The sequence below is a fragment of the Homo sapiens genome, chromosome 10, assembly GCF_000001405.40.
Source record: "Homo sapiens chromosome 10, GRCh38.p14 Primary Assembly".
In the NCBI taxonomy this organism is placed as follows: domain Eukaryota; kingdom Metazoa; phylum Chordata; class Mammalia; order Primates; family Hominidae; genus Homo; species Homo sapiens.
The window spans coordinates 98231464-98246721 of NC_000010.11; the positions used below are offsets into that span (position 1 = coordinate 98231464).

At 38.2% G+C, this 15258-nt stretch overlaps 1 protein-coding gene across 43 annotated transcripts in view; it reads left to right on the forward strand.

Moving 5' to 3' along the window:
- The window catches only part of R3HCC1L (R3H domain and coiled-coil containing 1 like), a 110241-nt gene extending 96807 nt beyond the window's left edge, over positions 1-13434 (forward strand). For 42 of the 43 annotated variants that reach the window (XM_047425072.1, XM_047425065.1, XM_047425071.1 and 39 more), the window contains 5 exons: positions 49-224; positions 2983-3053; positions 3962-4057; positions 4561-4701; positions 12628-13434. In XM_047425072.1, the coding sequence (XP_047281028.1) occupies positions 49-224; positions 2983-3053; positions 3962-4057; positions 4561-4701; positions 12628-12695 (552 nt within the window). In that variant the 3' untranslated portion in view covers positions 12696-13434. Of the gene's footprint in view, positions 1-48; positions 225-2982; positions 3054-3961; positions 4058-4560; positions 4702-12627 lie in introns of those variants that run through there. The other variant, XR_007061959.1, reaches the window with a different exon arrangement.
- The last annotated feature ends 1824 nt before the right edge of the window (positions 13435-15258 follow it).

Sequence of the window (15258 nt, forward strand, 5' to 3'; positions counted from 1 at the left end):
TAACCAGGTTTAATGTAACCGGCACTTAACGTGCTTCTTCCTTTCTAGTTATCAGGGAATACCAAGAGCAGAGAGAGCATCCAGGAACCTAGATCTGATTACTACAATCATGAAGTTCCTGATATTGACCTCAGTGATTGTGAATTCCCACATGTCATTGAAATTTATGACTTTCCCCAAGAATTTCATACTGAAGACCTTCTACGGGTTTTCTGCAGTTATCAGTGAGTATGCAAATGATTGTGGATGTTAGGGAGGGTGAGATGAAGTCTTTAAAAAATGTTTTCTGAGAAATCATCTCTTGTTTTTTATATCCCGTTTTTCATATTTTAGCATCAGGCTGGTTTATTGTCTTTTCCAGGTCCAGTAGAAATTTTCTATATTAAACTACTGTTCTAAGTTCCTTAAAAATGTCAGGTAGCCTTTCTAGCCCCCATTTTAGCATTTAAGAAGACTGTCATCAGTGATGACTTCATGGTGCATTTAGTCCATTAATACATATTGTAATTGTTGATATATTTGGATGTATTGTCAGATTGCCTGCCATCTTTATGTGTTTATTTGTCCTATCTTTTTCTTTCTTGCCTTCTTTTGGGGTCACTGCAGCCTCGACTTCCTGGGCTCAAGCAATCCTCCCAGCTTAGCCTCCCAAGTAGCTGGGACCACAGGTGTGTGTCACCATGCCTGGCTAATTTTTGTATTTTTTTGTAGAGACAGGGTTTCACCATGTTGCCCAGGTTAGTCTCAAACTCCTGCACTTAAGCCATCCGCCTACTTCAGCCTCCCAAAGTGCTGGGATTACAAGTGTGAGTTACCACGCCTGGCCTCAACTAAGTTTTTATAGACAAAATAACTCTTCTTTTTTACGCTCTGCTCCTGTTTCATTGGTTTAATTTTATTTAATTCCATGGTGAAAATATCAACTCACACTGATATATGTGGGTTTGAGAACACTTGCACTAACCCTTGGTATGTGTATAGCTGATACTTATATAGGAGAAGTTAAAAGAGTTAGAAGTAGATACCTTTGTATATTTAGCTTATAAGAAAAAAATAAGCTTCAGGAATAAAGAGATGATAATCCAGAAAGAAAGTTATTAAGAAGATTTTCAGGGTCTGGAAGAAAGTCAGTATCAAGAAGAATTATACTTTAATGTTTCAGTCCTGATATTTAAAATGAACCAGGTCTGTAGTGTGATATAACAAATTTAAATTTAAAATTCACCTTGAATGTGTAAGATTCTATATAAGTCAGGGTATAGCCCTTAACTTTTTCTTAAAGGATAAGTAAATATTTTAGACAACTCTGCCATTGTTAAACAGAAGCAAGCAAAAACAATACATAAATGAGCATGGCTGTAAACTAAAACTTTATTTATAAAAAGAAGTGTTCTGTTTTCATATGAAGTTCTAGAACAGGCAAAACTAGCAGCCATGTACTTGTTTAATCAGTTAAACTTAATTCGGTGGGGAGCATCAGTTCTATAACTAACAGAAAGAAAGGGTGAATGGATCCTGGATGACAGTTAATCTCTGCCATAAACTTTAAATGTATAGTGTGTAGGTCAGTCTTACTTACTAGAATTAGGTTAAAATCTAGTATCAGAACCTGTTCAACATAAAATTCATAATAGATTTTTTAAAAGCAGTCAGAGGGATCAAATCCTGTTAGAACTACCTTAGACTGTCATAAATAATGATGATTCTTAAAACTAAGGATCATTTTGTTGATGTCTAGAATTTCTTGAAGATCAATTAACTCTTACAAACTATTTACTTCCCTTTGCTTTGTTTCTTGATAATCTCACCTGCAGGACCATGTTTCTATCAAATTCAAAAACATTCCCCAAAGAGAAAAATTTTAAAGGATTATGAAATTTTGAAGTATAAAAGGCCCTCTAGAACCCATCTGTGATTTATAAAAATGAAAATATTAATATTGATGAACATTGCTATTAATAATAAAAGTAATGAACACCATTAATTTATTAGATGCCCATGAAGTGCTCAACACCATCTTCTTTGCCTTGTCATGGATGATCTCATTTCCATTTTCACAACAACTCTGTGGGGAACATACTTTCTTCATTTTTACAGAGGAGCCGACCTAGCTTCAAGAGAGGTTAAACTTGCCCAGGGTCTCAAGGTGGCAGAACCCTGAGTCCATGAGCATTTTTAAGCTCTTAGCTGAAAAATATAACTGTTATGTCATCATCCTGACATTCCTTGTGCTCACTAGGTAGTTGTTCTCCAAAATAAAAGTGTTTTTCTAGTACTTAAATGTTCATTCTTTTGATGCTTTCTAATCTGGTCTGATATTTCTCTTATCATGATTCCTTTCATCCTTAATTTTTCTGACTTTGCCACATAATTCTTTCTAATTTTTTCTTATTTTTTTAACCTCCCTTCTGCAACAAGTGAAGAATAGATCAGCCTCTCTGATTATAGTTGCCCCCTTTTTTCCCCGTTACTTGACTTTTTTAAAAAAATTGAATAACATCTTCAGTATAATCTCCCCTACCCCATTCTCTTCTCTTTCTGTCTCTGTCCTCAAGGACAGAGTTTACATTTGCATTAAATCCAGGTGACCTTCCCTGCCTACCTACTCCTCTTATATTCTACCCCTCCTCTGCTTCCTCTTTCCATTTCTTCTCATTCCCTGCCCATAAGAACATCTCTTGTAAATAGTGCATTAAATACTTTACATCCCCAAGGGACTTGTGAGGATTAATTAGTTGATGTCTATAAAATGGCTGAGAACGTAAAATACTCCTGGGTACTTGTTTATGATGGTATTATTGCTTTTAAAATTCAATGGCTTCTTCTGTCCTCCAAACTGTTTTCTGTGTCATTATCCCCATTCCACCTGTGCACTCGTTGAGTGTTTCTATCTTGTGAAATGCTTTATGAGATTCTATTTGTGAGATGTTTCATAAAAGTAAATTTTATTTTAGGAAATAAAATTGTTTTTTTGTGTTGCAGAAAGAAAGGATTTGATATTAAATGGGTGGATGATACACATGCCCTAGGAGTATTCTCCAGTCCAATTACAGGTATTCACCCAGTGGCTTTCAATCTTCCTTTCTTATTGTTCATTTTCTCATGCTACTTTTTCTATTTCCCTTCTATTTGAGCAAGTTGGCATCTTATTCAGCCAGTGTAGGTAATAGGGCAGTTAGTGGTTTTTTTGAGGTAAGGTACTTTGGTACCCATTCTCACCTTTCACCTTAGTCCAGTGGTATTTGGAGAGATAGAGTCAACACCTTCCAAGGTTATTTGTACACATAACTGTCTGTCATGATAGTACGTAAACAGATTAAGGTAGAGATTGAAGAATCCAATGGGGCTCTTAAAATATTGGTGATTTTTTTTTTCCATCCTAGACAAGTGAATTTAATTAGCCCTTTAACCTGTCTAGTGAGAAATTATAATACATACCCTCTGAATATATGATTGGGCCTTCTTACATATACCATTGGCCTCATGATAGATCTGATGCAGAGGCATTCAAAGAAAATAGAGATATTGAAACGTTAGTTCCTATCTGAACCACCTAGAATATGGATCTGCAAAATTATTCTATAAAGGACCAAACAGTAAATACAATATTTTAGGCTTTGTGGAGCATCAGGTCTCTGTCACTACTTAACTCTGCTGTTGGAGCAAGAAAGCAGCCATAGACAATATACAAACCAAATGGGCATGGCTCTGCTTCAGTAAAATAATAAAATTACTTTGTAAATAAATATAAAAACAGGTGGTTGGCTGGATTTGGTCATGGAGCCATAGTTTGCTGATACCTGATCTAAAATAATTACTGCCACGTTGATCTTTAGATCTGTCTCTTTTGCTTGCTTTGAAAAAAAAGCATAACATCTAGGAAATACTAAGAGCTATCCCTAGTTTTTCCTTTGCATCACTCTACTTCATGTCTTCTGCTTCCTTTTATTCCTCTTTGCAGCTCGTGATGCGTTGGGTATTAAACACACCATGGTGAAGATTCGTCCCTTGTCACAGGCCACAAGAGCAGCCAAGGCCAAAGCTAGAGCTTATGCTGGTGAGTCTATAATCTCTGGGTTTTTTTCTTGCTGATGGTGGTATTATTGTTCTTTCCAGAAGTTTTATAGCATCCAGACATCTAAAGACATATCACTTTTATTTTTAGTGTTAAAAGAAATATGTTTTTAAGAAAAAATAAATAAAAGGGAAATGACCATGTTGGAAATATGGCATCTGAGCAGCCACTTGGAGTGTGTGAGAACTAACTGCAGGCAATGCAGCAATCAGTTTCTGATGACATCCCTACCTAGTTTACCTCTGTGTTTAGCTGCCTGATAGAGTCACTGTAAGATACTTTGTTAATGCAGATAATGAAGCCAGGGTTGTTTGTGCTTTGCCATGTTAATTTCCTCTGATCATCATCTATCAGACTTGTATTAATTACTGCTGATGCAGCCCTTGTTAGTCTATTTTGTATGTTAATTACTGAGTTAAATCACTTGAAGCTAGAGTGCTCTCTCTTCTTGACTCCTTCCTACTCCCTTCCTTTCTTCGATTCAGAGTTCCTCCAGCCAGCAAAGGAGCGTCCTGAGACTTCAGCAGCCCTAGCCAGAAGGTTAGTCATCAGTGCCCTTGGGGTTCGAAGTAAGCAGAGCAAAACCGAACGAGAAGCAGAGCTCAAGAAACTGCAAGAAGCCAGAGGTGAGCTGAAAGGGTGGTGTTCTTCTCTAGGCCCTTCAGAACTCACTGTAAGGCATGTGTTTAAAAAAAAATGAATGAAGCCCATTCCATTTTTGTCGTTTCTGTTTCCTAGAAGCCTCCTAAGTGTATAGAAATTTTCATGCCTTACGTCCAGGAGAAGATGTTTCAGGATTGTCTGCCTGTTTCACGCACCAAGACATTCTAATCCACGCTCCTACTGTTGTTTTCCAAGAGATAGGTTTGGTCTTCTCAGCTCATCCATGGCTTTTCCTACAGTTTTTCTATGAGAAAAATTTTCCTGTGAAAACAGATAGTGTCCTAGGGAGAAAACATTTGCTATGGTTTTACTGGGCCACGATTGCCATGATATTGCCCTAATGTTATCAAATGGTTTAGATCTGAGGTAGAAGACAAATTTAGGAAAAGCCAGCAACTGACGTTGATGATAACAACTGTAGGAGGTATTTTTGTCTTTTTAAGACAGTCCTGAGTGGCTCCATTAGAGTACATCTAGATTTACCTGTCTTCTGATTATTTTCCAGTATCCAAGAGTTCTCAGAAAAATATTTCCCCTGATCCACAAGCAGAGTTTTTCTTTCTTATAGTTTGGAGCTGAAGTTAAAATCTCTCTCTCCTCTACAGGCTGTTGAATTGTATGTAAAGGCTTGGGACTCTGGTGTGGCACTTAAGTACTTTTTATCAACCTTCAGGCTTTAGACAGTCTCATTGCCTTAGCCCACAATTCCTGGAATCTGTGAAGGCAATTTATTCTGAAAATTCCACTTACCGAAAAGTAACTTCATTTTTCCATTAAACGAATTGAAGTTTCAAACTCCTTGTTTATTGCTGGTCTAACAAGGCCATTAATACGTCCTGTCCTCTCTGCTTTAGTGATAGCAGGCAGCTTGCGGACTCCCAGCTGCACTGGCCAGATAACCAGTGACAGAGTGTGTCATGGCAGGTGCTAGAGTTTCAGAGTTGAACCCAACTAATTTTTGAAACTTTAATGATTATAATGAGGCAGTTTCCATGTTTTCCAATCATTGTTTACTCAAAGGCCTCCTACAGACTATAGAAACATAACCGGATTCCTTGGGTTTTTATAGATGGCAATAACAGAACTAGATTAAAGATGAATGTACAGTGTCCTTAACCCTTTGTTAATTGGTTGTCTCTGAAGAAAATGATTTCTGTGTGATAACAGTGATATCTATAAAAGGGGATATGACTCCCTTTGCCATGTTATCATGCTTCTCTGTGGGTGTATATCACCTGTATCTCTACAGATCCTGCAGCAGTGGTTTTGCGTGGATATCATCTTGAGTATTCCCTTTTCTTTCTCTAGGTGCATCAGCATGCAGCTCCACTTGAAGTATTTGTTTTAAATGTCTGGCTATGCAAAGGACATTTCAGTGATGCAATTAAAAATGATTCTGTTGACTAAGCGGGTACTCTATTGCTTTTCTAAAGAAGGCCTTTATTTGTGAATAGAGACCCACTGTGATAAGTTTCTCCTACCTATTGGTGCTGAGGCTGTATGGATTATGAGGACTCTTTATTATGCTCCAGCGTGCTACCATTCTTTATATCTGAGGAAATGCATCTGGAAGATTTCCTGATGTATTTCTTTCTGGCATCTTTCTGTGTTGGGCAGATACTTATATGCTTGCCTGCATGGAGCCCAGGCTTTAAATATTTTTTTTCAGTGGAAACTTTACTGTTTTAGGTATTAGACTCTGGAATCTCACTTCCTGGGTCCACATCTTAGGTCTGCCATTTACTGTCTGTGTGACCTTGAGAGGGTAGGTAAGTAACTTACTTACTTTCTGGAGGCCTGTTTTCTCATCCTTAAACAGAGCTCAAGCAAGTTAATCCATGAAGGATACTTAGTCATCTTCAAAAAACCATAGGTACTCTCTTGCTCCTGTTTCTATAGGCCTATAATGAGTTATATGGTAAGTGTTAGCTGCTGTTGTTTTTGTTAGTAATAATAGAAATATCATTATATGGTGAATCCAGCACAGATTTCAGTGCATATTTTTGTCATTACTCTTTTTATTTTAAAATTCCTGTAATCATCTGTTAGCTCCATTTGGCATTCACTGAGCACCTGCCCTGTGCAGAGCACTGTGTTCCCTGTTTAGGAGAATTAGAAAGATGGCAAGATTTTGTTCCTCTCCTTAAGCCTTACAGTCTAGTGAAGATAATCTGCCTTGAGTAGGGAAGAAAATATGTTCCTCTTTTAGGTATTTTAAGCAGTTGTTTTTCCTCTCACTTCAGTTCTGAAGATTTTAAGATTAAAAACCATAAATGGTTTTTGTTGATTAAAAGGACAGGAAGGAAACTCCATCATAACTTACAGGTTATGATGATATTGCATTATGATAACTCTGTGACCAGTGATACCATCTTGAGTTTAGAGCTGACCCAGAGAAGTTAAACTGGCCTAAGGTCACCCAGCTGGTAAACTGAAAGAGAAGGCATCTGAATCTAGGTACCGCTGATTAAAACCCATGCTTCTTCTGTAATACTGTAATCCCCCTTAAAGGACTTTTGCAGTTATTGACATTTTCTCCCAGAAAAAAAAACTTACATAAAACATTTTTTAAAGTCTCCAGGAACAAAATATGACAAGCTTCTTTGTTATCTGTACCAATGGTTAGCAGCTTTTCACTGTCAGAAAAATCTTCCTTAGGTCTAACTTAAATCTGCATGATAGTTTAAACCAGTGTCCTCTTGTTTTTTCCTTAGTAGAAATAGAGAATATCTGCATACTATTTTGTTCTAACAACTTTAACGCTAAAGATTAGGGGCAGATTGTTTAGAAATGAGGAAATCTGGGCTCTAATAGAGCTTTTGCCATTAACTAGCTGCGTGGCCATGGGCAAGTCAGTTATACTTCTCTGTGCCCCCTGGTTTCCAGCAAAGCGAAAGTACTCCTCAGCCTACCTAATCATGGAGAATTTTTTGAGCACAGAATAAGTTAACATATGTAAAAATGTTTGGAAAAGTGCTTTACAAATTCAGGATATGATTATTGATATGACTGTTAAGAATTTAATGTTCATTATAATATGAGCTTGTAATGACAAATACGTATTATATACTGCTACTCTCCATCCATTACAAGTGGCAGATATTGTTAAATCAGTCATGACATTCTTTCTTGGTGAGTTTTGACATGACCATTGCCAATTTATCAGAATTAGCATGGGAATTGAAATCTATATATCATCCTGTTATAATATGGTATAATAATCTCCCAGCCTTTCTTTCTCCCGCTTGAAGACTTCTGCTGTCTAGCAACAGTGCCTGGTACATAAAAAGATACTCAGTACATGTTCATTGACCAAATACATGGATGACATTGGTTACTCTAATTTTTCTTTGTAAATCTTGACTCTACTCTGAATGCTAAGTCCTCCATGTTTTTCTTTATAAAACCCAGAATGTGAAACCTTCCTAATTAAGAATTTTGAATTTGTGATTTTGAGTTTTAAGTACTTTTCTGCTATATTTTTCACTCTACTTTGATTATTTATTTATTTATTGAGACAGGGTCTCACTTTGTCACCCAGGCTGGAGTGCAGTGGCACGATCACAGCTCTCTGCAGCCTCAACGTCCCAGGCATAAGGAATCCTTCCACCTCAGCCTCCTGAGTAGCTGGGACTACAGGCATGTGCCACCATGCTGGCTAATTTTTTCCTTTTAGTAGTGATGGGGTCTCTCTGTGTTGCCTAGGCTAGTCTCAAACTCTTGGACTCAAGTGATCTCCTGCCTTGGCCTCCTAAAGTGCTGGAGTTACAGACCTGAGCCACTGTGCCCAGCCTAAAACCACATTTTAAAGACCAAACTCAGGGCCAGGCATGGTGGCTCACTCCTGTAATCCCAGCATTTTGGGATGCCAAAGTGGGCGGATCATCTGAGGTCAGGTGTTTGAGTCCAGCCTGGCCAACATGGTGAAACCCTGTCTCTACTAAAAATAGAAAAATTAGCCGGGCATGGTGGCGCGCACCTGTAGTCCCAGCTACTCAGCAGGCTGAGGCAGGAGAATCGCTTGAACCTGAGAGGCGGAGGTTGCGGTGAGCCGAGATTGCACCACCATACTCCAGCCTGGGCAACTGAGCAAGACTCCATCTCAAAAAAATAAAAAACAAAATAAAGACCAAACTCAGGAATGTATATAAAATTTTCCCATGTTCCACTCATCCAGATATTTGATTCCCACCTAAAACTGGACTTAGATATCGTTACCTCTCAGAATAAGCTATCTTCTCATTTTCAAAGCCTGCTACAATTTTATTTTAATTTATTTTCATTTTATTCTTGAAGGTAGGTGATTAATTGGCTGGTTCTGAAAGGCCATCTTTTGGGTCACAAGCCTGAAAGGCAAAGTAAGTAAACAGTAGCCCGCTCACCTAGTTTGATTAATTAAATCACAAAGAACTTCAAACCATCTCTATAAGATAGTAATAAATTTAATCACAGTTCATACCTTCTGAAAACCTTCTTTAGACTTTCCATTATTCTGCCTTAAAGGGCAGTGTGGCATTGCTGATTCATAATCTAGGTCTTAGGGTATTTTCTTGGCGTTTTTTCTCCCCTGATGTCTGAAGTTCATTTCTAACCACATTTTTTTTTTTTTTTCATTTTAATGTGACTTTTTTTCTGTGATGTAGCGTTTACTCATTTTTTGGTGTCAATTGCTGTTTAATAAACCTAATACCTTTGCCTAGATCAGAGATGAAAATGTTAACTAGGACTAACTAACTGACCAGGTCACCAGCTGTTGCTAAAATAAATAGTACATGGTTCCTTGTGTTAACACTTAATACATTGATAATTATTCTACTCTCTAGAGTTAAATGCCCCCTTATGGGATTCAGACTGTATTTTTCCATATATTATGATCATATAAATATTTAGTAAACTTAAAATCTAAAACTTTGCTAAAATTAAGAGGTTATTTAGATTACTTCTCCTTGATCTACTATGTCCGTCACTCTAAAAGAAGGGAATAAGATTCGTTTGACCAGACGCGTTCTTCACAAAGCATGTTGTCTATTGTTCTGTATGTGACTACAGTAGATTTTGTGATTATTTTTCATAGATCTAGAATAAATTTTGAAAGTCTTTAATTTACATCCTCTCTCTGCTTTTTTTAAAACATGACACCAAACTGGCCCTTTTACAATCTTCAACGCTTTACATTCTCTTATGTAAAGTCTTGACTGCACCGTGATTGCAGGCAACTCATTTAATATAGTCATTTCTGTTGATTGATTTATTATATTGGAGAATGAAAGTTTTCAGGGCCAGCCAATGTGAATGTTTTAGGTCAATCATTTTGTGCTGAATTTTCTATTTTTTCTTAATTCCTTGCCCTTGTGTCTACTGTTGGGCTTTCTCTTTATTCTTTTAATTGTTGGAGGTCAAGTTAGTAGGAGCTTTGTTTCATGCAGTTTATCAGCTATTATCTGCTTTCCTTTCTCTTTAATAAAGGGACATGTTTCTTTGTCTTTCTGTTTATACAATTTTTTTCATATTTTTTTCCCTTGTAGATATTTTCAGATGTCAGGATAGTAGAAAGTGTGCTGGTGAAGAATTAAGGATCTGGGTCCCAGATTCAGTTCTTTCACTGGCTGTGTAACCTTAGGCAAGTCATTTCAGCTCTCTGAGCTTCTGTTTCCTCATCTTTAAAATAAAGAAATTATTATTTCCTATCCTGACCTACATTTCTCTATTCTATTCATGTTCTTGTATTTCTAAATTTACACCTCACATTTTCACTATTTCTTTGTGCTTCTCAATTTGTCTTCCTACTCTTACTAGTTTTTTCATATGGCTTACCATTAGAATCTATTTACTTTTATTAGAAAGTGTTAGGAAATGTTTCAGGCCGGGCACAGTGGCTCACGCCTGTCATCCCAGCACTTTGGGAGGCCGAGGTGGGCAGATTACCTGAGCTCAGGAGTTCAAGACCATTCTGGCTAGCATGGCGAAACTCTGTCTCTACTACATATACAAAAAAATTAGCCAGGCATGGTGGCATGTGCCTGTTACTCAAGAGCTACTCAGGAGACTGAGGCATGAGAATTGCTTGAACCTGGGAGGCGGAGGTTGCAGTAAGCCAAGATCACACCACTGCACTCCACCCTGGGTGACAGAGCGAGACTCCATCTCCAAAAAAAAAGGTTCAGAATTCTGAACTTTCCAGATTTTAGAAAGGTAATATGGTATCTGTCTTATAACGCCAAAATCAGACACATTAATATTTCTGCAGCAGAGTGTGTGACTGTTCACACTAAATGGGATATGTAAAGACTATAAATAGCTTCGTATCCTTTCAAGTTAGATTTGCCTCCATCGATTAATTTTGGCCCCAAGCTTTAAAGAAAGCAATAACTTTGTTTTCAGAATTGTTTTGATTTTGGAATTGTGTGTTATGGGCCTGTTATATTTTTCTACTGCTCTCGAATCTCTTCTCATATTACTCTTAAAGATTTAAGTTTCACACCTTATTGAAAAATTGGAGTTCTAATAATTTACTTTTCTGGTTTCTTCATTTTTCCTTGGGATGTAGAACCAGATTTTGATTGCTTTCATCCATTGCCTTTAGATCTCCTCCTAACTTCTCCATGTTTGTAAGAATCAAGACCATGCTGCCTTCCTAAGAAATTCTGGAATCCATTAGACAAACCAGTTATCCTTTGTGCTGTCTCCTAGAGAACCCCAGTGCAGTTCAAGGCCTGCCTCAGTTCCAGGGCATTCTCTACCAGCCTTCATTTTGCAATTTGCAGACCACTGTTTTTTGCCTCTTGTAACTTTGCTGCTATATTCAGATAATGCCACAAGATGGTGCCCAAATAGCAGTGAATTTCTTTTTCTCACATTTCCAAGTGCCAGTCAGCTTCATAACTAACTTCTTTGCCCTTAAAGTACAGTCAAATACAGTATAGGAATGTTGTAAGGGATTCTGCTGATGAGGAAAGATATATCAGAATAGCAAGTGTTTATTCTGAATTCATCTCGATTTCTGTAATCTCCCTGGTTCATGACTTGCTAAACCTTATACAGGCATTATCAATTTGGAACAGTAAGAAGGAAGCATTTAGGCTTACCATCTATGATGTAGGCTTATCCCCATTTTATGGTGTCAAGATAAATGACTAGCCATGCAATTGGAACTGGTATTGTGGCACCTAAAGGAGCGCTTGGGTCACCAGACTGTTGTATGGTCCATATTTTCTCAGACCTTGGTGAAAGTGTTATGGAGAACCAAGCTTCTATATTAAAAATTGAAGATGAATTATCCAGATTTGTATATTTTTTGTTTTTAGAAATAGTTTTAGTTTTCCATATTGTAATTGTATATTCCAGAAGATTTCTGGCTCCTGGAAGTGCTCTGAAAATATTGAAATGTGGTTTGCCTCTGAAATATTTTTTCAATAAAGTTTTAGAGAGGAGATATGAGTAAAGCCCAGGGGCTACCATTTCCATTTAAGCAACAAAATAGAAGAATATCAATACATATCCTTGATACTTATTGAAATATTTGTAAAGATCAGTAAGCTGAGAATAATGGGCAATTGTGTTGAAGCACTAAACATAGTTGAAAAGTAGAATTTAAATATGTATTAGCAAGACTAGAATCTGAGTCCCTACTAGATTCTGACTTATTCCATATACTTCTATTAGCCTCAGATATTTTTTATTATATAGTAGTAAATGTAATGACTTACAGTAGTATCATTTTCACTTACAAAGCACTTAGGAAATTAAAGGAATTAACTCTTGTTATCAGGTAAGAGAGACCAGGATATCCACTTGTCTCATGACTAAAGTTTGCCTTGTAATTTGGATTAAGGGAAAGTCATTGGTTATATGAAGTAGACAACTGTGGTTAATACTGCTCTTATTTACAGAGAGAAAGCGGTTGGAAGCCAAGCAACGGGAAGACATCTGGGAAGGCAGAGACCAGTCTACAGTTTGAACATCACTCAATGAAAGGGATAATTCCATGAATCAGAAAATGTTTCCATAGCCTTCAGATAAGATGATCCTTCCAGAGCTCTATGTACATGCAGATGTGCATGTTAAAGAGATAAAGTGATCGAGACAAGGACTGACTGGGTATAGAAGGAAGACAGACTCCTGTCTTCACTCCTAAATGCAGTTCTTTGGAATCACCCTACTGTGGTGGGCGTAGTAGGGAGCCATCAGCTAGGAAGAAACGTGGGAGATGTGAATTCCAAGAGTTGCCTGGACAGGGCAAGTCATGTTAGCGTGGGTCACACTTCCAAGATATTTAAAGCAAATACAAAACAGAACAGAGGATTCAAACCGCAAGTATGGGAGATTTAGGCCCTGCAGAGGCAGACCATTCCTTAGTATCTCACAAAGCAGAGTAATACTGGAGGCAGAGTAGGGGGTGGTTGGAGAGCAGTTAGTACAAAGAGGCAGAACAGTGTCTGGTTTACTTGGCATACACAGAATCTGCACTGCCGGTTCCAGAACTGCAAAGTTGGTGAACTACAGGAGATGTGGGTATTTAGACTCCAAAGTTTATACTGAGCTCAGTGCCTGGGACCGCTCCAGCTGCACTGCAGCCAGGGGGGATACCAGCTTCATTCCTCAGAGTAAACCAACCTTGGGAGCTGTGTGCCAGTTCCAGTGTAAGCAGTAATACCATGTTGTAAGAGGGAACATTAAAGCCCATTTTATGACATATATCACTGTGGTGTTTGTTGGTTTTTGTCATTCCAACAAAGAAATAGGAGAGCAGCTTTCTTCTTATCCTCATGCCTATAAGGCTGTGCATAAGTTAAATGGATCTGTTGTTTTTATTGAATCCCAGTGAGTAGAGAATTGATCATATCTCTGCCTCAGTATACTACAAAAGTGATTATCCTGGGACTGCTATGTGGTAGCTCCTCTCCCCTTCATATCTTCCTTGTACACCCTCATTCCAACCTTTTTCTTGCTTTCTGCTATCTCTGCAAATCTGATACCCTGAAGAAGACATGTGGCACACCAGCGTGTTCTTGGTATGATCTTCTCAACCTATGCCAGAGGTACTTGGCAAGCAGCACCAGACCATCCGTTACAATGACAAGCAGCCAGGATAAAATAAACACCTCTGGGCAGTGAGAGATTTCCTAAAGGATGTGGACAAGTCAAAGCCATCAACTCAGGCTTTATCCATCTCATGTCTGCATTCTCAGTGTTTTTGGAAAGTAGTTCTGCACTGAAGAAATGGTAGCACTAGACCTTAGGATGCTGAGGTGGCAAGAAATAGTGGCTCATTGTGCTTTCAACTAGGGCAACGGCCTCATCTTTTAATGATTTAGTGCCCATGACGATGATGAATTATTAGCATTACCTAGAACATGGTGGAGTAGGATTCTATTCAGATGTTTCTCAAATGACCCTGGCCTTGGATCTTGATCCTTACCCAACTATCCCTGCTGCTATTGAGATACTACAACCTTCTCCCAGTTCCTCAGCATTGTTTTCCTCATTCGTGGTTGGCTCTACTAGTGTCCTTTGTTCATGTTCAGTGACTCCATGCCAAATTTAGGGATTAAGTAAGTTGTTCTCTTGACCCTCTCCACTAGTACTTTGTCCAAGTGCCCCTCTCTTTGGCCTATAGCAACAAGACTAGTGCTCTCTGTCTTCATGGAACAGACTTCTCTAAGATAGGTCTGAACAGTGCAGCTCCATTTGAAAGGAAATGCAGGGAATTGCAGCCTGACTTCATACTGAATGGTATACCTCTGAGTTATACCTTTGCTCTGCTTTGATTCTTCAAGGCCAAGAGTGACCTTGGGCAGTACAAAAGAGATGACTACTCCTGTCACTTGCCTGTGAGGATGCTTCTTCCTGGCTACACTTTAGCTTTTAAAGGCATTGTTAATGGTAACATATAGCCCCATGTTTATTTCCCAGTTTTCTTGTAATCTTCGTAATTTCAATAACTTATTTTGGTTCTCATTCTAATGCTGTATGCTAGTAGCCTGTCCTTTTTTTCAGCCAATAGTCAGCCACCTCTAACTTTCCAGATTTATCCTTATAACCAGACCCAGAGAAAGGATTTTTTTTTAAGCCTACACTTGAAAATTATGGAGTGTTGCTGCTTCTACCATTAGTAGAGAATGTGCTTTTTAGTTACATTATTCAAGTAGTTGGGATTGATGTATGCTAGCTGGAGGTAAGAGCTCCTGCTATGGCCCAGCACAGACTATATTGAGCTTTTCCAGATGGGAATTAAATCCTTGGGCACATCCAAGCCATGCTTTCTCAAGCTGAGTTAGCTGGAGAGCACCCTGTAGCTGCCACTGGTGCCTTTGTTAGATATTCAGGAAGACAGCTAATGTACTCTGCTGTGCATATGTGTTGAACATCTAAATCTCAGGATTACCTGGAATTTAGTAGAAAAGTACATTTCCCATTAGTTATGATATGCTCTTCATAGAGTGAAAGTCTTTGTAGTATAAAGGTAAGTTAGGCTTCTGAAGACTAAGCTGACATTCTTAGCACCTTAGTTTCTCTGAGGC